Here is a 24,010-nt window from a genome sequence, read left to right as displayed (position 1 = left end):
AGAAAGGAACATCCTTTGGACTAAAGGCTGGTTAACCTAGGTCTACGCACTTGACCTCTGTGCCTCGGTTTCCTCATCAATAAACGTAGGAGACCTACCTCACTTGATTGAGGATTCGTGAGGTTTATTGTTATGTGCTCAGTAAACATAGCTTTTATTATTTATCTATAACTTGCAAAATGCTTCCAAGTATGTCATCTCAAGTTTTCCAAACAGCCCTGGAAGGTTGGACCTAGATTTTATTCTTGCAGGGAGGTTAAATATCTTGCTTACATAGTTTCTAAGTTCTGTGATTGCACTTGAAAATCCAAGACATGGCCACGCACGGTGGCTCACACTTGTAATCCCAGCACTTTGGGAGGCCGAGGTGGGAGGATCACCCAAGGTCAGGAGTTTGAGACCAGCCTAGCCAACATGGTGAAACCCTGTCTCTACTAAAAATACAAAAATTAGTTAGGCGTGGTGGCAGGCACCTGTAATCCCAGCTACTTGGGAGGCTGAGGCAGGAGAATAACTGGAATCCTGGAGGTGGAGGCTGCAGTGAGCTGAGATCACGCCATTGCACTCCAGCCTAGGCAACAGAGCAAGACTCCATCTCAAAAAAAGGAAAAAAGAAAGAAAGAAAATCCAAGACATACCAAGTCCCCTTACTCCACCACTGCCATCCTCACTTCCTATAACTGGAGGCCATGTCACACAGGGCATTTCTAGATAACAATAGCTAATATTGAGAGAGCACCCATTATATGTCAGGTACTACGTAAGAACTTTATAAATATTATCTCATGGATATGTGTGCAGGGGTGGGCAGTAGATCTACAGGAAATTATCTCATGCCCTTTAAAATTATGCTGTTATTTTATCCATTTTAGGTGAGGAAACTGAGGCTCAGAGAGGTTAAGCAACTTGCCAAGATCACAGAGCTAAAAACAGGCAAATGCCAGTATTTGAACCAAAGATAATGCTCTTACCTGGTACACCATATTTCAGAGTTGGGATCTCCAAAGCAGATCTGAGGATGGCACCGGGGCAGCCTGAGCCCAGCCCTTCCACTTCCACCCCAACCCTGCAGACGCCTGATGTATTTACAAGCATCTGCCCTGGGCGGCAGCCATGGAGTGAGCCTCTTGGAGAATCCCAAGGCTCTACATTGAGGAAAGGTCCCATCTGGCTTCCCCTCCCCAGTCTAGCTCAGCTGGAGAGACAGGAAGGAGGGGTGGCCTCCCTCCTGGCCAGGCCTCATGTATAGACCCTTGTCATGGCTGGCAGACTTGAATGACTTTCTTTATCCTCCCTTCTCTTCCCTACTTCCCCCACTGCCAGCTGTGGCCATTTAATAAAATTAGCTTAATGCTTGTTCCTTCCCTGTGGGGTCTGGAGATTGAAATCTGCGGGTCCCCACAAACCCAATAAAACCCCTGGCAGGTCTGGCTAGAATGAGAGTCTTGGTGGGAAGAGTGATTAGATTAGAAGGCACTCCTCTGGCCCCCCAGTGCTGCCCACAGCCCCGGGTTCTCTAATGGCCATTTGGGCCTGGAATTATCCAGCCACCACACCTGAGGGCCTCCCCACCTTTCCCAGAGGCCACTGGGACTGATCTATGACCTCTGTTACAAGAAAAGCCATGTTAATCTTTTCTGTAGTGCGTGCAGGCTGACTGGCTGGCTGGCCTGGTTTCTTTTCTTTCTGGTAACTTGACAATCCTCATGTCATTCTGAGAGATGGGGCTAACATCTCCATTTTGTAGGTGAAGAAATCAGTCTGAAGAAGATTCGTGACTTGCCCACGGTCATGCAGTAACGCTGTGGCACAGCTGGGGCTGGACTGAAGCCAAGGACTTTTTTGACCTTTGAAGGGCACCAGGAGTGTCCTGCAGTGCCAGCTTGCCTGCTGCTTGTCACTCAAGCCACATCCTAGTTGCAGGGGAACCTTCTAGGGAAATGCTCCCCATCAAACAGGGGCTCCTCAAGGGCAAATCTATTTTTTTCCTCAGACTTGGGACACCTGAGGGCAAAGACTATGTCTCCATCATCAGGTTGGGAAGCTTCCTAAAGGTAAGAGGCATATCTTCTCCATCAGACTAGGGGGCCTCAAAGACAAAGATTGTGTTTTCTCTTCAAATCGTCAGCTCCTTGAGGGTGGGGTGTGTATCTCCACCCAGACCAGGGATCTGGGGATTCCTAGATGCAAAGACCGGCTTCCACGAGTGGTTCTGAGGGGTAGATACTGTGCTTTTCCTTTTCTTTCTTTCTTTTTTTTTTTTTTTTTGATAGAGTCTTGCTCTGTCACCCAGGCTGGAGTGCAGTGGCACGATCTCGGCCCACTGCAACCTCCACCTCCAGGGTTCAAGCGATTCTCCTGCCTTAACCTCCCAAGTAGCTGGGACTACATGCATGCACCACCATGCCTGGCTAATTCTTGTATTTTTAGTAGAGACAAGATATCATCATGTTGGCCAGGCTGGTCTCGAACTCTTGGCCTCAAGTGAGCTGCCCATCTCGGCCTCCCAAAGTGCTGGGATTACAGGCATGAGCCACTGCGCCTGGCCGATACTATGCTTCTTCTATTAAACTAGGACTTTCTGAGAAAGGGACAGTCTCCACCCCCGGACTGGGGGCTGCCTGAAGGAGAGATTGTCTTCTTACCTAACTGTGAGCTCTCTGAGAGCAGAGGCTGTGTCTGTTTTTTCTACTGGGGCTCCCTGAAAGCAGGGCATTTGTCTCCCCCTTCCTCGGTCAGGGTTCTTTTCTGGCACAAGAACATTCCAGGGGGCAGGGCTGTGTGGGTGGTGGGAAGGAGCTGGACAGGCAGAACGGCATGTCCACTCTGGAGGAGAAGCAACAAATCTCCCCAGGCTGCCTCCCCTTTAGGAAGATGTGTGATTAATTAATGAATAATGTCCCTGCCAGGAGGGTTGTAAGGATGGAGGTGCCCCTGGAGCTCTCCCACACGAGAAATGGCAGGCCATCCTGTGTGGAGGCAGCCACCAGCCCTAGGAGCTGGTGCTGCCCTGGTTTCTAAGGTTATGGGGACCAGAGGGGGCAGCGGGCCCACTGCTGGGGGCTGCCCTAATTGGATGACTTTGCAGGAAGGCCAGGCAGGTGTGCCCGGCTCTCCATTTCAGCTTGCTATAGACACATCTGCCATGGTGAGGTCTAAGGGTTAATTGCCTCCCGCGTCACTCCTGGTAACCAATATTTCATTTACTGCTTGGAGGGGAGCTGCCCAGAGAATCAATCCTGGACAAGCATCCAGGAGACAGGGGAACTGGGGAGACCCAGGAGCTGTTTCCTAGAGGAGCTCTGAGCATCAGAGGAGGAGGCAGGAGGTGGAGACCCAGAGAAGGCGGCCAATTGCTCAAAGCTGCTCTGGGTCTCATCTGAGTTCTGCTGACCCTGACAATAGTTCCAGGACCCCCAAGGGCTAGAAGAAAGTTCCAGAGGTCCAGAGGCCGCACTACCCCAGCTAGCTGTGTTGTTGCCCATGCCCTGGTTCCTTCTGCATTTATTTATGTGGATGCCCCCCAGACAAAACTGTAGCAGGTTAGATGCTGTTAATAAGGTTATTTTCACACATGATGACAGTATATTTGAAAAGTGGAACTGAAGGTGTGAGTTCCTCACTCCCTTCTAGGTAATAAACCTTAAAATCCTACTAATGAGGTGATAATAAAGTGGAAGTGAAAAGTCTACACATGTTTGGAACTGGAAGGGATTGGAAGGGATACTGAGAGGGGGCAGCTGGGGGCTGGAGAAAGGGGCCAGAGGGCTACCTACCCCATGCTCTCCATTCATTTGTGCCATCTGCCAAAATTGAGAATCAATGCCACAGAATGGCCACTCCCGTTATGCAGCTCAGAAACACTAAGACCCAGAGAGGAAGCCAAAGTTGACTGGGTTGGTTCAGGGCAGAGCTAGAAAAGGAGACAGCAGGACCCAGTGGACACGCAGGAAATGAAGACAGAAGAACTGGGTTCGGCCGGGTGCAGTGGCTCACGCCTGTAATCCCAGCACTTTGGGAGGCCAAGGCGGGTGGATCACTTGAGGTCAGGAGTTCGAGACAAGCCTGGCCAACATGGTGAAACCCTGTCTCTACTAAAAATACATAAATTAGCTGGGCGTGGTGGTGCACACCTGTAATTCCAGCTACTCCGGAGGCTGAGGCAGAGGAATTGCTTGAACCCGGAGTGGGGTGGTGGTTGCAGTGAGCCAAGTTCATGCCACTGTACTCCAGCCTGGGCAACAGAGCAAAAAAAAAAAAAAAAAAAAAAAAAAAAAAAAAAAGGCAGGGCACACAGTGGCTTGCACCTGTAATCCCAGCACTTTGGGAGGCCGAGAAGGGTGGATCACCTGAGGTCAGGAGTTCAAGACTAGCCTGGCCAACATGGTGAAACCCCGTCTCTACTAAAAATACGAAAAATTAGCCGGGCATGGTGATGGTTGCCTGTAATCCCAGCTACTTGGGAGGCTGAGGCAGGAGAATTGTTTGAACCTGGGAGACAGAGATTGCAGTGAGCCGAGATCGTGCCATTGCACTCCAGCCTGGGCAACAAGAGCGAAACTCTGTCTCAAAAAAAAAAGAAAAAGAAAGAAAAGAAAAGAAAAAGAAAGAAAAGAAAGAATAAGAAATGAAGAAAGAAATAACCCAGATTGGGAATGATTATATGTGGGATTTTAGAAAGAAAGAAAGCTAAGTGTGGTGGCTCACGCCTGTAATTCCAGCACTTCATGAGACTCAGGCAGGAGGATCACTTAAAGCCAGGAATTTGAGACCAGCCTGGGTGGCAAAGCAAGACCTTGTCTCTACAAAAAAGTTATTTAAATTAGCGGCATGGTGGCGCAAGCCTGTATTCTCAGCTCCTCAGGAGTCTGAGGTGAGAGGATCACTAGAGTCCAGGAGTTCGAGGCTGCAGTGAGCTATGATAGTGCCGTTGCACCCCAACCTGGATGACAGCTAGACTCTGTTTAAAATAAAAATAAAAAAGAAAGAAAGAAACTACCCAGAGAGCAGCTTCTTCAGGGGATGGGGCTCCTGCCTATTCCCAGATGATGAAAGTAAAATTTGAGGGCTCCTTCCCAGGCCTTCAAGGCACAGGCCTTTGCTCCTTCAGTGGTAAGCACTGGCCTGGACTAGGAAAACTGCCTGGGCTAGGATAGTTACAGACCTCTCCCTGCCTCACCAGAGCCAGATATGTGTCTGCTAGGCCCTTGCCTACTCTGTTGCCTGCAGAATGCCTGCTCATTCTTTTTGTTGTTGTTGTTGTTGTTGTTGTTGTTGAGATGGAGTCTCGCTCTGTCACCCAGGCTGGAGTGCAATGGCGCAATCTCAGCTCACTGCAACCTCCACCTCCTGGGATCAAGTGATTCTCCTGCCTCAGCCTCATGAGTAGCTGGGATTACAGGTGCCTGCCACCACGCCCAGCTAATTTTTATATTTTTAGTAGAGACGGGGTTTCACCAGGTTAGCCAGGCTGGTCTCAAACTCCTGACCTCAGATAATCCACCCGCCTCGGCCTCCCAAAGTGCGCCACCGTGCCCGGCCATGCTTGCTCATTCTTTAAAGCCCAGGCAGATTGGCTGCTCTTTCATGAAGCTTTTCTGCACTCCCGCAGCAGGTCTCTCTCCAAAGGCTCCAAAGCCTCCAAGGCTGGACTGAGCATCTTCCAAGTAGGGCTGTCTCACTCAGTACTGTAACACTGTGCCAGCCGCATAATAGCCATTCTACCGTAAGAGCAGTTGTTTCACCATCTCTCACTCTCCTTAAACTTTCACCTTTCTCTGCTGTGATGGATGCTGCGGTGCACTGCCCAGGTCTCCTTCAGAACTGAAGGATCTTGTCCCCGAACTCCAGAGACTGCTGCCAGCAGATGGCTCTTAGCTACCAGCCCCCTTTCAGGATTTCCCCTGCTGATGTGAGCTGCCTTCCTCAATGTCCTGCCCCTTTCTCAGAGCAGCCTGCTTCCCATAACTGATCAGCATGGGTTTTATCTGCCTGGCCCTCCACCCCCTACTCAGGGCAGCTCTGAAGTGTCTTCCCCGCTTCAGAGTTCCCAGTTCAACTTCTCCCTCTGCCCAATCCTGTTTCCTTCTCTTCCACAGGTATTAATTTGGCCAGGTGCAGTGGCTCATGCCTGTAATCTCAACTTTGGGAGGCCAAGGTGGGAGGATTGCTTGAGCCCAGGAGTTTGAGACCAGCCTCTGAGACATAGTGAGACCCCTGTCTCAAAACAAAACAAAACAAAACAAAACAAAACAAAAACTAGCCAGGCATGATGGTGTGTGCCTGTGGTCCCAGCTATTCAGGAGGCTGAGATGGGAGGATCACTTGGGCCTGGGAGTTCAAGGCTACAGTGAGCAATTGCCACTGCACTCCAGTCTGGGCGACAGAGCAAGACCCTGGCACAAAACAAAACACAGGTGTTAATTCCAAGAGCACGCTCCAATAAACTTCCTGCACCCTGATCTCTGTCCCAGGGTCTCTCTACAGAGGACTCAACCTGTGAGACCTACCCCAGTCTCATTCATTCACTGATTCTTTTAGCCAATATCTATTGAGTACCTGCAGATAGATAGATCTGCAGGCCCAGCAGCAAGGGCAGGAGATAGAGTGTAAAAGGTGCCTACCCAATGGGTGATCACATGTCCTACCCCACAGAGAAGCCAGAAGTCACAAGAGACAGCCTCACCCCATCAACTTTCCACCATAAAATCACAAACTTCCCTGAACCTGCGCCCTTCCTCTTCACCTTTCTTGCTTTCATGGAAGATGCTCTGTCTGCATCCTATGCCCTCCCACCGGCGTGACCAGCTTGTCCTTGTTTGTCCAGGACTGTCCCAGTTTAAAACTGAAAGTCCTATGAAACCCCTAAGTCCCAGCCAGATGAATTGGGATGGTTGAAAAAGATTGGCAAAAGTCTCCAGCCTTTTTCAGGACTTCACTTAATTGATAACCACACCTCTTGATATATATATACACACACACATATATACATATATACATATATATACGTATATATACATATATACATATATACGTATATATACATATATACATATATATACGTATATATACATATATACATATATATATATATATATATATATATAGAGAGAGAGAGAGAGAGAGAGAGAGAGAGAGAGAGAGAGACATGGTATTGTTCTGTTGCCCAGGCTGGAGTGCAGTGGCATGATTATAGCTTACTGAACCCTCCAATTCCTGGGCTCAGATGATCCTCCTGCCTCAGCCTCCCAAGTAGCTGGGACTGCAGGGCATGTGCCACCACACTAGGCTAATTTTTCTTCTTTTTTTTAATTTCTTTTTTAGAGATAGGGGTCTCACTATATTGCCTAGGCTGGTCTCTGTCTCCTGGCCTCAAGCAAGCCTCCTGCCTTGGCCTCCCAAAGTGCTGGAATTATAGCCATGAACCACCACACTCAGCCCAGCTGCTCATTGTATATTGGCTCCTTCCCATCATCATTTAAAACTCTACTATCCTTAAAACTCCTCCCTTGAGGCCGGGCGCAGTGGCTCACACCTGTAATCCCAGCACTCTGGGAGGCCAAGGTGGGTGGATCACCTGAGGTCAGAAGTTCAAGACCAGCCTGACCAACATGGAGAAAACCCCGTCTCTACTAAAAATACAAAATTAGCCGGGCAGGATGGTGCATGCCTGTAATCCCAGCTACTCAGGAGGCTGAGGCAGGAGAATCGCTTGAACCCGGGAGGCAGAGGTTGCAGCAAGCCGAGATCATGCCATTGCACTCCAGCCTAGGCAACAAGAGCGAAACTCTGTCTCAAAAAAAAAAAAAAAAAAAAATCCTCCCTTGACCCTACACCCCTCTTACAGCTACTACATTTCTCTGCTCCCCTTGATAGCTAAATTACCTTAAAAGTTGTTACAAAGTCCTCATATCCCACTGTCATCTGGCTGTTGTCACTCCTCTGAAGCTGCTCCTGTCAAGGGCACCCTAGGCCAGGCATAGTGGCTCATGTCTGTAATCCCAGCACTTTGGGAGGCAGAGGTGGGCATATGGCTTGCACTCAGGAGTTTAAGACCAGCCTGGGCAACATGGTGAAACCCCCATCTTTCAAAAAAAAAAAAAAATTAGCCGGGAATGGTGGTGTGCACCTATGGTCCCAGCTACTTGGGAAGCTCAAGTGGGAGAATCACTTGAGTCCAGGAGGTGGAGATTGCAGTGAGCTGAGATCATACCACTGCACTCTAGCCTGGGTGACAGAGCAAGACCCTGTCTCAAAAAAAAAAAAAAAAAGGCCACCCATGACCTCTTGTTAAACCAAGTGGATACTTGATTCAAGGACCTTCTAAAACTGGCCTATATCCAAAGTAGACCAGGCGCGGTGGCTCATGTCTGTAATCCCAGCACTTTGGGAGGCTGAGGCGGGCAGATCACGAGGTCAGGAGTTCAAGACCACCCTGGCCAATATGGTGAAACCCCGTCTCTGCTAAAACTACAAAAATTAGCAGGGCATGGTGGTCTGTACCTGTAGTCTCACCTATTTGGGAGGCTGAGGCAGGAGAATCGCTTGAACTCAGGAGGCGGAGGTTGCAGTGAGCTGAAATCGCGCCACTGCACTCCAGCTTGGATGAAAGGGCGAGACTCCGTTTCAAAACAAAACAAACCAAAACGGGCCAGGTGCAGTGGCTCACGCCTGTAATCCCGGCACTTTGGGAGGCCGAAGCGGGCAGATCAGGAGGTCAGGAGATTGAGACCATCCTGGCTAACACAGTGAAACCCCGCCTCTACTAAAAATACAAAAAATTAGCCGGGCGTGGTGGCACACGCCTGTAGTCCCAGCTACTCAGGAGGCTGAGGCAGGAGAACAGGAGAATCGCTTGAACCTGGGAGGTAGATGTTGCAGTGAGTCGAGATCACACCACTGCACTCCAGCCTGGGCGACAGAGCGAGACTCTGTCTAAAAAAAAAAAAAATTAATTAAAAAAAAAAAAGTAGCTAATGCCACACCGTGGTGCAAAGGCTCTGCAATGATAAGGGTACAGCAAAGGCTCTGCAATGATAAGGGTACAGGTGGGAGGATGGGAGGATGTGCCTTTCCTCTGCTTCCTTTGAGCACCTGGGGTCGGTGGTCTCAGAAGTCACAGGTAGTGAGATGTCCACACACTTCCTAAGAAGACAGAGCCTGCTGCCTTTCACACCCCAATCACATCAGCCTAGAATCACCTTCTGCCTCCACACAAGAAAAAAATTTTGCACCCAGTCCTCAGGTTAGGGTTCTAGGCCTTGAAATTCTTGTTGGGCTAATTCCAAACCAATCTCATCCCTTATCAGCATCTGCAGTGTAGGGCCCGGAAAATTTCCATTTGTGTTCACTAAGGTGGGCCTGGTCAGGCCCTACCAAGACCTCTCAGCACTATTCGCCAAGGTTGACCCTCTCACCTGTGAGATTGTCTTCCCTTGTCTTCTGAGATCCAAGGAACAGCCTCACCTGCCAGGCAAGCTCCCAATCTCCCTACAGCCCTCAGCTAGCATGCCACTCCCCAGCCCTGCTTCCCCCTGCATGTTCTCATTATAGTCTATGTCTCACATCATTGTTCCTACTTAATTGTCTAATTTCTCCCATAGGCTGCAAGCTCCACGAGGCTAGGAGGAGGGTGTTGATTACTGAGCAGCCTATTCTCTGAGCCCACCTGTCTCATATTAGTAAGTAGTTGTTAAATAAATGAATATGAGAACACCCATTACCATTTTATTGAATGTCAGCAAGGGGCTTTACCTACTTTTTTTCTAATCTTTGTAACAAGCTAAGTATTCTTTCATTCCCTGTTTTATAACTCCAAAAACTGAGGCTCTGAGAGACTTGGTGACTTACCCAAGATTATCCAGCAAGTAAGTGTCCCCTGTCCCCTGCCTGCAGCAGGGCTGGACTCTGCCCCTTGCCTTGTCCTGGCTCACCTAACCTCCAGTTAATTGTGTGGACCAGAAGAGGACCAGGGCAAGACCTGGCTTATAGGACACAAGAGGCTCCCCTGATGGCTCTTGGGGAGCCAAAACCTCTGTTAAAATACACATCCCAGTAAGGGAGGAAGAGACCCTTATGCTGTAAGCCATCCTTCATTTTTTGTTTTTATTTATCATGAGTTGTGGAGATGGCAAGAGTACTCCAAATTTCTTGTAGTTTTACAATGACCAGCACCTCCACATAATTTTCTGGTTTTAACCTCACCAAACCAGCAATGCTATTCTATTGTATAGGGGTCAGTTGGGGTCCAGGGAGGTGAATGAGTTTGGGCCAAGTCAACTAGGTATTAAATAGTAACCCTTATCCTGATGGCAAGTCTGATGAGGGAGTTTTGCCTCACCCTTCTCTTACATGCCGCAAACCTGCTCATAGTCCCAGTGTGGGAACAGATGTACTGAAGATTTCCTAAAAGTAATGAGCACCTGGCTCTTTGCAGCCTTCACCTATTTGGTTCTAATTAAATGTATAAAGGTTATCCCTTACATATGCTGGGGACGTTGGAAGGCTTTCATACCTACGCTCTCCTAGGTGAGTAGGAAGGGCAGGATATCGGCCCCATTTTATAGATGAGGAAACTGACACTCAGAGAGCTGAAGTGCCTCGCAGTCTCAGCACTAGTTAGTGACTGAGCCACAACTGGAAACTCTTCAACTCCCACAACCTCAGGTGTTGGAAATCAGCATGAGGTGGGCCCACCAGAATCCAAGCAGCGGGCAGCGGTGTACTATGGAGGCAGTGCACCCCACCGCTGCCGCAAGGGGCCGACCCTCATGCGCAATCGTCAGGCATCATGCTTCTGACACTGTCAAAGCCAAGCGGATGGAATTGCCATTCTTGGCGTCCGCCGGCTTTGCCACATCAAGGCTGTCCTTTAAGTTCATCTTGGGATGGTCCTGCAGCGGAAAGAGACGCTGGACAGAGGTTGACAATCCCCTCTTGACAAACGGATGTGAATTTAGCCTACAGAAAAAACAGGTTTAAACACCTGTTGGATGTCTGGTTGCTGTAACTGGTGCTAAGCCTAGACCCGGGGACCACAGAGACTGGCTGTGGCCCCACGTATCCCAACCCTGCGTTGGCTTCTGCCCGCTACTCTCGTGTGCCCAACCCCGGAGACACCGCCTGGGAAACTGCAGCCGACAGGAAGAGGAAGTGAGCAAGCCCACTGTGAACGGCTCTCGCAACACTTTGTTACTTAGGAAACAGCCAATCAGCGATACGGACGCTGACCAATAGGAAGCACGGTCCGGCCCGCCCGGCTAATTTGAACGCAAGGCGCCGGGTGGAGGTTGGCGCGGGTAGGGGAGGGTGTGGGGCGCTCTCTCCCGGTGTGGGTACTGCTGTCTGTGGTGTGGCTGTGGGACCCGTGAGCAAGCAGCGACGCCAGCGGCGGAGAACCGACGAAAGGTAAGTCCTGGCCCACGGCGGAACCGACCGCGCGAACGCCTGCTCTCAGGTCTCGGACGCGCAGACCCAGCTGCTCCGGGCGGGAGGCCTGTGCCAGGCCTCTTTTGTGCTGGACGTCAAGGTGCGGCGCGGAGAACGAGCTTTGCTGCCGCCCCGGCAGGCTCTGTCTGCATGGACCCCTTTAAACTGGGCGGGAAGCGGAGCGCTTCCTTACACACCCGTACGGGTGGTCAGGACCCCTCCGCTCATCTATGCTGGACCTAGACTGGGCCTGCACATCTGCCACCGGGGCCTGGCCCTCTGTACGTCGGCCCCGTGAAAGGTCCTCCTGCTCGCGAGTGAGGAAGAATTGGGCTCTTCTGCACGCTACAACTAAAGGCCTGGGACTCCCTGCATGTCAGTGAGGAGTATGTAAGCCCCCCTCCACCCATCTACTGAACTGATTGCAGAGCTGCACGTGCCGGTGGCTCTGGCACGCAGTAAAATTTTTTTTTTTTTTTTTTTTTTTTTTTTTGGAGATGGAGTCTCTCTCTCTCTGTCTCCCAGGCTGGAGTGCAATGGCGCGATCTTGGCTCACTGCAACCTCCGCCTCCCGGGTTCAAGCGATTCTCCTACCTCAGCCTTCCGAGTAGCTGGGATTAAAGGCGCCCACCACCACATTCAGCTAATTTTTGTATTTTTAGTAGAGACAGGGTTGGCCGGGCTGGTCTCGAACTTCTGACTCAGGCGATCCGCCGCTTCGGCCTCCCAAAGTGCTGGGATTACAGATGTGAGCCACTGCGCCTGGCCAAATGTTTGATTGAATGAAGGAACAAGTGAAAGAACATTTATATGACAGAAGACCAGGCCTTTGTTACTGCTCCTAGGATGCATCTCCCCTTAGCTTTGACCTTTTAGGGAACTGAAGTGACATGGAAAAGATTAAGCCTGGTCTGTGCCACAGAACTTAAGGGATTTTACTGAAGACACTGGTTCCTCCATCGTCATGGGAAAATGCCATATGTCATATAATTCTAACAGTGATACTAATATCTATTGAGCACTTACCGGGTTTGAATGAACTCATTTAATCTTCACAAATATATGGGGTAGATACTAATATTATTTACAATGTACAGGTTGGAAAACTGAGGCTCAGAGAAGTTAAGCCTAGTTTAGAGGAGAACATCTCAATGTTATATTGCTTTCTCCAATCTTCTCCCTATTCTATTTCTTCCCCAGTCACTGCATCCCATGCTTCAAGTACAAAGGTATCCAGTCATTCTCTGCCCATTTCATTATTGAATTTCCCTACCTCTAGAGAGTTATTTTAAGATGTTGGTCTTTATATTATCTAACCGAATTCCATTTATACCTTTTTAAAAAAGTATACATGTATACTGTTGCAAAAAAATAAAATAGAAGTTAAAAAAAGTATCCATGTAGCATATTTTATAAATTTATAAATTGTTTTTCTACCTGGCCACAAAACAAATCTAAACAATTATCAGAGTATTGTATAAAACATAATCTTTTTACATAAGCAATTACGTTATAAATACCACATTTACAATTTTTTTTTTTTTTTGGAAGTAGAGACAAGTTCTCCCTATGTTGCCCAGGCTGGTCTTGAACTCCTGACCTCAAGCTATTCTCCTACCTCAGCTTCCCAAAGCCCTAGAATTACAGGCATGAGCCACTGTGCCCAGCCCATGTTTGGATTTTTTTTTTTTTTTTTTTTTCTGAGACAGAATTTCCCTCGTTGCCCAGGCTGGAGTGCAATGGTACCACCTCAGCTCCCTGCAACCTCCGCCTCCAAGATTCAAGCGATTCTCCTGCCTCAGCCTCCGGAGTAGCTGGCATTACAGGCACCCGCCACCACACCCGGCTAATTTTTTGTATTTTTAGTCGGGATGGGGTTTCACCGTGTTGGCCAGGCTGGTCTCAAACTCCTGACGTCAGGTGATCCACCCACCTCGGTCTCCCAAAGTACTGAGATTACAGGCGTGAGCCACCATGCCCGGCCTGAAATTTTTTAAAAATACACTTAAGTAGGTCAAATAGGAAATCATAATTGTAATTAAAAGATAATTAACATGAAGCGATTATAAAAATACTATTTATAAAACTTGTGGGATGCAGTTAAAGCGATACTTAGAGGGCAACTTATAGTCTTAAATGCTTATATTAGAACATTTTGTTTAAGAAGCTGAAAGTTAATGAGGCAAATATCCAACTTTAATAAGACAGAACAGCAGAGAACATATGTAGAATATAAAAGAAGATAAGACTGGGCATGGTGGCTCACGCCTGTAATCCCAGCAGTTTGGGAAACCAAGGCGGGTGGACAGCTTGAGCCCAGGAGTTCAAGACCAGCCTGGGCAATATGGTGAAACCCCATCTCTATAAAAAAATTTAAAATTGGGGGGTGTGGTGGCGTGTGCCTGTGATTCCCAGCTACTCAGGAGACTGAGGTGGGAGGATCTTTTGAGCCTTAGGAGGTTGAGGCTGCAGTGACCCATGATCGCGCCACTGCACTCTACCCTAGGCATCAGAGTGAAACTGTCTCAATAAATAAATAAGCTAAAAGCAGAATCAATGAAATAGAGTTTTATCATATAATAGGATTATTTTAGTCAAATGCTGTATCTTAGAAAAGAATAATAATTTTAAAAACCTCTGGCAATATTGATGGAGAAATAAATAAAACATACAAAAAAGACCTTAGGAGCAAAAATAGGGACATACTTCAGTTACAGAGATTAAAAGAAAGAGAAACGGCAATGGAACATTCTTTTTGACAATGCCCTTGGAAAATTTTCTAGGAAAAAACAACTTGCCAAAACTGACTCAAGAAGTTATGGAAATTTTGACTAGATCTAGGACTATTCCATTGAGGAATTCAATTTTCCATAGAGGAAACTGAGTTAGTTTAAAATGTATCTTCACAGGCATGAAAAACCTATACCAAATTCCACCAGAAACTTACAGGCAATTGAAAAAGATGATTCTACTTTACACAAACCGTCCCTATAAAAAAGAGAAAACATATTGGGTCTATTTTACGATATCAAAAATAACACAAAGAAAATTACAAGTCGGGCCAAGCGCGGTGGCTCACGCCTGTAATCCCAGCACCAGCACTTTGGGAGGCCAAGGCAGTAGATCACCTGAGGTCATGAGTATGAGACCAGCCTGACCGACATGGTGAAACCCCATCTCTACTAAAAATACAAAAAATAGCCGGGCATGGTGGCAGGCACCTGTAGTCCCAGCTACTCAGGAGACTGAGGCAGGAGAATCGCTTGGACCGGGGACTCGGAGGTTGCAGTGAGCTGAGACCACGCCATTGCACTCCAGGCTGCTGGGCAACAAGAGCAAAACTCCATCTCAAAAAAGAAAAAAAAAAAATTACAAGTCAATCTGTTTCGTTAATGTAGTTGCAAAGATCTTACTAAAATATTAGCAATCAGAAACCAGTTATGTATTTAAAAACTAGATTATGACCAAGTTGAATTTATCCCAAGAATGCAAGAATGGTTTAACATTGGAAAATCTATTAATATAATTTACACATTTAGAGATTTAAAGAGCAAACATATCCCATTAGGCACAGAAATACAATTCAATAGGAGCCGGTGTGGTGGCTCACTCCTACAATCCCAGCACTTTGGGAGGCTGAGGTGGGAGGATCACTTGAGCCCAGGAGTTGGAGATCTGCCTGGGCGGCATAGTGAGACATCATTTCTACAAAAAAATTAAAAATTAGCCAGGGATGGTGGCACACCTGTGGTCCCAGCTACTGGGGAGGTAGGTGACATGATGAAGTGGGAAGATGGCTCGAGCCCAGGAGTTCGAGGCTGCTGTGAGTGGTGATCCCACCACTGCATTCCAGCCTGGGCAACAACATGAGACCTGGTCTAAAAAAATAAAAAAGGAAAAGGAAAAGAAAATAGAATTCAATAAAGTTCAATATCCATTCATGACTTTTAAATATATATAGGTAAACTAGAAATGGAGACAAATTTCCTTAAACCAACAAAGTGTGAAATAGTAGAAGGATTCTTTATAAAATCAGGAAAGGGGCAAGGATACTCACTATTACTGCTTTTATTCAATATTGTGCTGGAGGTCCTAACCAGAAATGTAAGACAAGAAAAATAAATAAAAATAAAATAAGATTAGAAAGAAACTAACAACGCTATCATCAATTACAGCCTTATGATTGTCTATTTAAAAAAACAAAAGAGGCCAGGCGCGGTGGCTCACACCTGTAATCCCAGCACTTTGGGAGGCCGAGGCGGGTGGATCACAAAGTCAGGAGATCGAGACCATCCTGGCTAACACGGTGAAACCCCGCCTCTACTAAAAAATACAAAAAATTAGTCGGGCGTGGTGGCGGGCGCCTGTAGTCCCAGCTACTTGGGAGGCTGAGGCAGGAGAATGGCATGAACCCAGGAGGCGGAGCTTGCAGTGAGCCGAGATGGCGCCACTGCACTCCAGCCTGGTCGACAGAGCGAGACTCTCCCTCAAAAAAAAAACAAAAAAAACACAATTTCTTCCTCTGCATGACCACAACATGTAGGAAGAACCAGTGGATCGGGGGTGCTGTTCTTTTGTGGGTACCAAGGTGAGGGGGAGATGGGAGCTACCCAAGCCCAATTGCAGGGCAGAACAGCCTAAGGATGGGGTAGTGCCCCTGGTGACAGAAGGTCAAGTTCTAGCCTTGCTACTTCACATTTGGGAGACAAGTTCCTGTGCCTCCTGTTCCTTTTGTACAGTAGGGATATGACAATTGTTGTGAAAGTTAAACACCATTTGTAAAGCACTTAGCATAGTGTCTAATTCATAGTAAGCACTAAGTAAATGTTAGCTGTAATAATAATTATTTTTAGATTTTTGGATTCAGACTCTGCTCTTCTCTGGCCCTTATTTATTCATAGGACAAATTCAGCATCTGCTGCATGCTGGGCCGGGTGCCCAGGCACCTGGGGTACACAGACTATGTCAGAAGAAGGTCCTCCTCTTGGAGTTTAAGGACAAAAAAACAAGTGTATTAGGGTTGTGAAGGAGAGATGAAGGGGGCTACAGCATCGCCTGTAAAAATAGGACGTCCAGGGGCTGGGCTTCTTCCCCTACCCCCTCACCCCTACTACGTTCCTCAGCTTCCAGAGTCTGCAGGTAGATTCCCTCAAGTCCTCTGAAATTCTTCTCCAGGGACTTGTGAGGAGCTTGGGCTCACTGGACCTGTCTCTACTAGGGTGGGCAGAGCAGGCTCTCCCCAAAACAACAGAATCTTGGCTTCCCAGCCCCAGCCTGGCAGAGCACTAGCCTCTGGGTTTTAATGAGCTGCCCTGGGTTAGAAACAGGACGTGACTGTGGCTGGCTGAGAATCCTGAAGATCTTATTAAAGAATCATCTCCCTTGTACTTTGGGCTGAAATGCTCTTTCCAACCAAGGATCAAAGCAAACTTGACACACATTCTCTCATTAATCTCCCCATCCCCTGGGGCGGGAGCAGATCGGTAGCTGTTTTCTCTGGTTCTCAAAGAGGGAAGCTGATGCGACATTGACCTGGTGTGGCTTGTGGAAAGACCTCCCCCTTGGTCAGATGCTGAACAGGGACCAGGACCCAGGCATCCTAGCGGCGGCTATGCCAAGTGTCATCCACACTTTGTGCCCCACGCCCCCAGCACCATCTCAGCAAGAAGGAAAACATCTCATTAGGCAAACAGACTCAGCCACACTGGCCCTCAGGAGGCGGGAGGAGAGAACTGTAAAGGTTATGAGCACTCCTTTGCCAGTGCCCTTTTTAATTTCCTGCTTAGAATGTTAGGCTGCTCTGTGGCTCCTCCTCAGCTAAAGCCCTCCCCATGGGGAGCAGGGACTGCTGGGAAATGTGGACCCAGGCACCCTCTGCCTTCCCTTCCCCGGGTGCCAAAGTGGGGTTTCCTGGGGGTAGGTCTGCAAGAGTAGGAGACAGGAACCCTCTCTGTTGAAAATTAGGTACAGCTGGGTGCAGTGGCTCACGCCTGTAATCCCAGCACTTTGGGAGGCCAAGGCAGGCGGATCACCTGAGGTCAGGGGTGCGAGACCAGCCTGGCCAACATGGTGAAACCTCATCTCTACTAAAAATACAAAAATTACCTGGCCGTAATGGTGGGCGCCTGTAATCCCAGCTACTGGGGAGGCTGAGGCAGAAGAATTCCTTGAACCTGGGAGGCCGAGGTTGCAGTGAGCCAAGATCGTGCCACTGCACTCTAGTCTGGGCGACAGAGCGAGACTCTGTCTCAAAAAAAAAAAAAAAAGAAAAAGAAAATTAGGTACAGTCCATATATTTGAAAGTGTAGAATACAGAACGCTAATTCCATAAAAGGAATTATAATTATTATACAAACATAAGGGACTATTACAATGATGTGATCATTGTAGCATAATATATAATATCACTATAAGGCAGTATAGCCCGATGTGTAGTCAGACTGCCTGGATTGGAATGGGGCTCCATCACTCACTAGCATTGAGACCTTGGGCAAATTGCTTAACCCTCTCTGTCTCAATTTCTTCATTGAAAAATGAGTATAATAATAGTATCCATCTTGTGAGATTGCAATGGGGATAAAAGGAGATGATATGCATAAGGTGCTTTGAACAGTTCCTGATGCAGTGAGCACTTAGCTAATATGCTTACTATGGCAATCTGATTGCTGGGACAGGAATAGAATTACATACATGTAAAAGGATTATGGTTGGTTGATATCTTTTTCTTGTTTTATATGGGGACGAAGTTAAGAAGTTTAGGGATGAGGGGACAGGAGTTTCAAATCAGCTCAGTTCTGTCTCATTCCCCAAGGAAAACCTTAGCTGTTTGCTAGAGTGTCAGGTAGAAACCCCACTTTTCTTTGCTGAATGACCTTGGCATTTGTGACCCACCAGTGGAAGCTAGTCTTTACCTGGAAGGCATCCATCTATTCATAACGCCCAGGAACAGCCCCTGTTCCTCACCCCTGTCAATATATCCCCAGAGTTGGGCTGAACTTTTCCAGGCTGCATTCCAAAATTCCATCCCTACCCTTGGTACGCTGCATTCCAAAAATTCCATCCCTACCTTTGGTACGCTGTTTCGAAAGAGAAATGAAAAACCAGGGAGAGAGGTCTGGGGATGATATAAGAGTGAATGAGTAAATATATGTTTGGAATTATTACCAGGTCAACATTAGGAAATCTGTTGAGTCACCCTCTACATTAATAGATTAAAGGAGAAATATGTGTGATCACTTCAACAAGTGCCAAAAAGCATTTGATAAAATTCAACACCCATTCCTACCTTCCTAATGGGCAGTGGAGGTGGGGAGCTAAACATAGAAGAGCTAAAAATAGAAAGTAACTCTCATTATTTGCAAACGATATCATCATTTAATTGAAAGACTTAAGATAATCAATGACAATCTATTAGAACCAATAAGGGAGTTCAGCAATGTGGCCAGATACAAGATCTGCATGCAGAAATCAGTAGCTTTCCTATCTTCTGGAAAGAAGGAGTTTGAAAATGTGATTTTAAAAGGAGTGGGTGGGCGCAGTGGCTCACGCCTGTAATCCCAACACTTTGGGAGGCCAAGGCGGGTGGATCGCTTGAGGTCAGGAGTTGGAGACCCCACCTCTACTAAAAATACAAAAATTAGCTGGGCGTGGTGGCACACGCCTGTAATCCCAGCTGCTCAGGAGGCTGAGGCAAGAGAACCTGGGAGGCGGAGGTTGCAGTGAGCCAAGATCGTGCCACTGCACTCCAGCCTGGGCGATAGCGAGACTCAGTCTAAAAAAAAAATAAAAATAAAATAAGGAGCCTATTCATAATATAGCAAAGATCATGTAATAACTAGTAATAAACCTATCAAGAAATATATAATACCCATGTGAAGAAAATTATAAAATTTTACTAAAGACTGTAAAGGTGTGAATAAATGGAAAGAGATATCAGTTCCTAGGTGGGAACACTTGATATTGTAAAGATGCCAATTTTCCTCATATTAATCTATAAATTCAAAATAATCCAAATTAAAATCTTAGCAGGATTTTTCATAGAAGTTCATAAGCTGATTCTAAAATCATATGTAAGACAAGATACCTAAAAATAGCCAAGAAAAAGAGCAATGAGGTGATATATGATAAAACCACAGTAATTACAACAGTGAGGTACTGGAAAAGGAATGGACATAACGAAACAGAAGAGAAAGTCCAGAAACAAATTCATGTTTCTTTTTTTTTTTTTTTTTTTTTTTTTTGAGATGGAGTCTCTGTCACCCAGGCTGGAGTACAATGGTGCGATCTCAGCTCACTGCAACCTCCGCCTCCCAAGTTCAAGCGGTTCTCCTACCTCAGCCTTCCGAGTAGCTGCGATTACAGGCGCCCGCCACCGTGCCCGACTAATTTTTGTATTTTTAGTAGAGACAGGGTTTCACCATGTTGGCCAGGCTGGTCTCAAACTCCTGACCTCAGGTGATCTGCCCACCTCGGCCTCCCAAAGTGCTAGGATTACAGGCATGAGCCACCGCACCCGGCACAAATTCATGTTCCTTTTTTTTTAATTAATTAATTTTTTTTTTTGAGATGGAGTTTCACTCTTGTTGCCCAGGCTGGAGTGCAGTGGTACGATCTCAGCTCACCGCAACCTCTACCTCCCAGGTTCAAGCCATTCTCCTGCCTCAGCCTCCCAAGTAGCTGGGACTACAGGCACGTGCCACCACACCCGCCTAATTTTGTATTTTCAGTAGAGACGGGGTTTCTTCATGTTAGTCAAGCTGGTCTCGAACTGCCAACCTCAGATGATCCGCCCACCTTGGTCTCCCAAAGTGCTGGGATTACAGGCATGAGCCACCACACCCAGCCACAAATTCATGTTTCTATGAGACTTTAGTTATGTTAAATTTGGCATTTCAAATTGGTGGAGGAAGAATGCACTATTCGATAAATGACCTTGGGGATAATTGCTTACCAATTAGAAAGAAAAGATATTTAGAAACTTCCTCACACAGTTCACACACACAAAAAAAATTCCATCTCCATGACAACCTAAATGTAAGAAAGAAAAAATATTAGATAGAAATATAAGAAGAGGATTTATTACCTTGGAGAAGAAATGTCTTCTTAAGTATGACATAAAAGCTATAAAAGAAAAGATTGACATGTCTGACTATTTAAGTGTTAAAAACTTCACTATGGCCAGGGTAGAATTTTTTCCAGGAATGCATGGTTGGTTTGATATCAGGAATAATATCTAATAAATTACCATAGCAACAAAATAAGGGAGAAAAAAGCACATAAATATATTGGGAGGGCCAGGTGCAGTGGCTCACACCTGTAATCCTAGCACTTTGGGAGGCCAAGGTGGGCAGATCACCTGAGGTCAGGAGTTTGAGACCAGCCTGGCCAACATGGCAAAACCCCGTCTCTACTAAAAACACAAAAATTAGCTGGGCGCACCGGCGGGCACCTGTAATCCCAGCTACTGGGGAGGCTGAGGCAGGAGAATTGCTTGAACCTGGGAGGCAGAGGTTGTAGTGAGCTGAGATCGCACCATTGCACTCCAGCCTAGGCAACAAGAGTGAAACTCCATCTCAAAAAAAATATATATGTGTGTGTGTGTGTGTGTGTGTGTGTGTGTGTGTGTGTGTATGGAGATGCTGAAAGAGCATTGATAAAATTCTAGACTTTCCTAACAATAACCCCAAGTAAAACAAGAATAGAAGAAATTGCTAATGTTATAAAGACTACTTGTATAAAACTAATGTCTAAATAGGGAAGCACTAAAGCCATTTCCTTTAGAATCAGAAACAAAACAAGAATGCACATTATCATCATTATTATTCAACATTGTTTTAGAAATTCTAGAGACTGCAATAGACAAGAAATGAAATATTGGGTATGAATATGGAGAAGAAAAGGTAAAAATTTTTTCCTCTTCTGATACATAATTGTATACTTAGAAAACCCAATAAGTTCTAATAAAAATAAATGAAATTAATAAGAGAGTTTGGGGATGGTAGATATCGTGTGAATATCTAAAATTAGTTGTGTTCCTCCATACTAGTAATTATCAGCTGGAAATGTAAATGGGGAAAAGTGTTCCATCCACGGGAGCAATTAAGTACATAAAATACCTGAGAAATATATTAAAAGGACAATTACAGAACTAACTGAAGAGATAGAAAACTATAAAATCTTATTGAGGGACATAAAAAATATCTGAACAAAAAGAAAGGCAGTAGCCACAATCTTGCCTGAAAGAGTTTAATACACTTGGCTGCTAAAGGCTTATGTAAAGTAAAAAAATAAAATAAAAGGCTCAGTATAATAAATACGTAAATGTAATACAATTCAAACTGTAGCCCCAGTAGGGTTTTTGAGGGAGGAGAGGGCTCTAGGTTGGGGGTAGAATTGATAAAATTTTCTTAAAATCAAGTAGCACAATAAATGCCTGAAAATAGCCAAGAAAGCTATAGAAAAGAAAGAGTAATGAAGAGGTTCTTGCCTTACTAGCTGGAAAGCATACTGTAAAGTAATATGGAAACAGTGTGGCACTGGCCCAAGAATAGACAGAGATACATGAGGGTTATGAAAGGTAAGAAAAAAAAAAAAAGAATAGACAAATGGATTTGTGGAACATACTAGAAAGCCCAGTAAGAGGCCTCTAACAATATAGTCATTTGAGGCCTGGCGCGGTGGCTCATGCCTGTAATCCCAACACTTTGGGAGGCTGAGGTGGGCGAATCATGAGGTCAGGAGTTCGAGACCAGCCTGACCAACATGGTGAAACCCCATCTCTACTAAAAATACAAAAAAAAATTAGCCAGGCATGGTGGCACACACCTGTAATCCCAGCTACTCAGGAGGCTGAGGCAGGGGAATCGCTTGAACCTGGGAGGTGGAGGTTGCAATGAGCCGAGATCATGCCATTGCACTCTAGCCTGGGCGACAGAGCAAGAGTCCGTCTCAAAAAAAAAAAAAAAAAAAAAAAAAAAAAAAAATATATATATATATATATATATATATAGAGAGAGAGAGAGAGAGAGAGAGAGAGAGAGAGAGAGAGAGAGTCATTTGAGTATGACAAAGATGGTATTTCAAGTGAGAAAGAGATATAATTGGTTTCAGCACCAATATTTTTACTCTCTTGAGGCATAAAACAGAGACCAGTCATTGGGAGTGGGTGGAGGGGACCTTGGAGTACTGAGGGGGCACCTGGTCAGGCCTGGGGTGGGATTGGTCCTCAGCTCCACCATGTCTCACCCAGGTGTCACCACAGTGATGGCAGTGGAGGACAGCACGCTGCAAGTAGTGGTACGGGTGCGGCCCCCCACCCCTCGGGAGCTGGACAGTCAGCGGCGGCCAGTGGTTCAGGTGGTGGACGAGCGGGTGCTGGTGTTTAACCCTGAGGAGCCCGATGGAGGGTTCCCTGGCCTGAAATGGGGTGGCACCCATGATGGCCCCAAGAAGAAGGGCAAAGACCTGACGTTTGTCTTTGACCGGGTCTTTGGCGAGGCGGCCACCCAACAGGACGTGTTCCAGCACACCACGCACAGCGTCCTGGACAGCTTCCTCCAGGGCTACAACTGCTCAGGTGAGAACCTCAGCCCTGCCTGGCAGTGGCCTGGCCTCCCTGCCTCCTCCTAAGGGAAGGGTTTCATGTGTCTTCTGGCATGTGCCCGCCTCCCCCAAGCTGGGCACGATTTACTAAGGAGTTTTGTACAATGTCCCATCATGCTCTGTGGGACACTCATTCATTCATTCAGTCTATGGGGGAGGCACTCTACTGGGCCCAGGACTGCAACAGCAAATCAGACAGGACAGTTCCTGTCCACTTGGTGCTTACAGTCTAGAGGGGAGAAGACACCACTCACAGATCACACCCACAGTGTGTGGGGATAAACCAGGGTAAGTGGTAAGAGGGAGATAACTGTGAGCCTTCAACACCAAAAGCTGCCTCACCTACAGAAGGAAGGCATAGCCCGCACCCATAGTGGAGATCAGGTCATCCCAAATCCACTGGCCTATGGGGGAACAGAACAAACACACAGAGAACTCCAGCCCTGCAGCGGGAACATGGAGGGTGTGATTAGTGGGATTAATGGACCAGGGAACACAGGAGGAAAAGGAAAGGGGCTTGAGGGAGGAGGGAAGGGCTGAGCTGGGTGGCAAGGCACTGGGGTCCTCCTCCTTACTATGTCCTCTGCAGTGTTTGCCTACGGGGCCACCGGGGCTGGGAAGACACACACCATGCTGGGAAGGGAGGGGGACCCCGGCATCATGTACCTGACCACCGTGGAACTGTACAGGCGCCTGGAGGCCCGCCAGCAGGAGAAGCACTTCGAGGTGCTCATCAGCTACCAGGAGGTCGGCTGCCCCTGCCCTGGGCCTTGTTCTCACAACCACCCGGGGGGAAGTGAGCCCATGGGGTGGAGTGAGCTGGTGTGGGACAGGGTGGCAGGAAATGGAGAGCTGGCACCCCTCAAGGAGATAGATACTGCTCAGTGAGATGCTGCACTAGAGACACCCGCCTGTTCACCCTGCTGTGGTCATGTAACACAGTCCTGGGAAGCGCCACTTCTGTGGGTGTCTCAGATACATC

The 24,010-nt window shown here is 47.0% G+C and overlaps 1 protein-coding gene across 10 annotated transcripts in view, besides 3 other annotated features; it reads left to right on the top strand.

The window, feature by feature from the left end:
- Positions 5,099-5,364: a silencer, noted in NCBI's record as "fragment chr17:43031038-43031303 (GRCh37/hg19 assembly coordinates)". NCBI's record gives its function as "represses an EF-1alpha promoter that drives an FKBP-Casp9 reporter gene in an ReSE screen in HepG2 liver carcinoma cells {active_cell/tissue: HepG2}" and the evidence as "EXISTENCE:reporter gene assay evidence [ECO:0000049][PMID:32094911]".
- Positions 10,772-11,291: an enhancer, noted in NCBI's record as "H3K27ac-H3K4me1 hESC enhancer chr17:43025111-43025630 (GRCh37/hg19 assembly coordinates)". NCBI's record gives its function as "activates a minimal SCP1, AML or CMV promoter by ChIP-STARR-seq in naive H9 embryonic stem cells {active_cell/tissue: H9 hESC(naive)}" and the evidence as "EXISTENCE:reporter gene assay evidence [ECO:0000049][PMID:30033119]".
- The window catches only part of KIF18B (kinesin family member 18B), a 23,063-nt gene continuing 10,313 nt past the window's right edge, over positions 11,261-24,010 (top strand). For 4 of the 10 annotated variants that reach the window (XM_047435469.1, XM_011524387.3, XM_011524385.3 and 1 more), the window contains exons 1-3: positions 11,261-11,813; positions 22,676-23,002; positions 23,618-23,775. In XM_047435469.1, the coding sequence (XP_047291425.1) occupies positions 11,801-11,813; positions 22,676-23,002; positions 23,618-23,775 (498 nt within the window). In that variant the 5' untranslated portion in view covers positions 11,261-11,800. The remainder of the gene's footprint in view (positions 11,814-22,675; positions 23,003-23,617; positions 23,776-24,010) is intronic. The other 6 variants (NM_001265577.2, XM_011524386.3, NM_001264573.2 and 3 more) reach the window with 3 other exon arrangements.
- Positions 11,484-11,543: an enhancer, noted in NCBI's record as "active region_12267". NCBI's record gives its function as "activates an Ori minimal core promoter by ATAC-STARR-seq in GM12878 lymphoblastoid cells {active_cell/tissue: GM12878}" and the evidence as "EXISTENCE:reporter gene assay evidence [ECO:0000049][PMID:35858748]".

This window comes from Homo sapiens, chromosome 17, assembly GCF_000001405.40.
Source record: "Homo sapiens chromosome 17, GRCh38.p14 Primary Assembly".
Classification (NCBI taxonomy): domain Eukaryota; kingdom Metazoa; phylum Chordata; class Mammalia; order Primates; family Hominidae; genus Homo; species Homo sapiens.
This window is presented reverse-complemented; position numbering and strand designations above follow the sequence as displayed.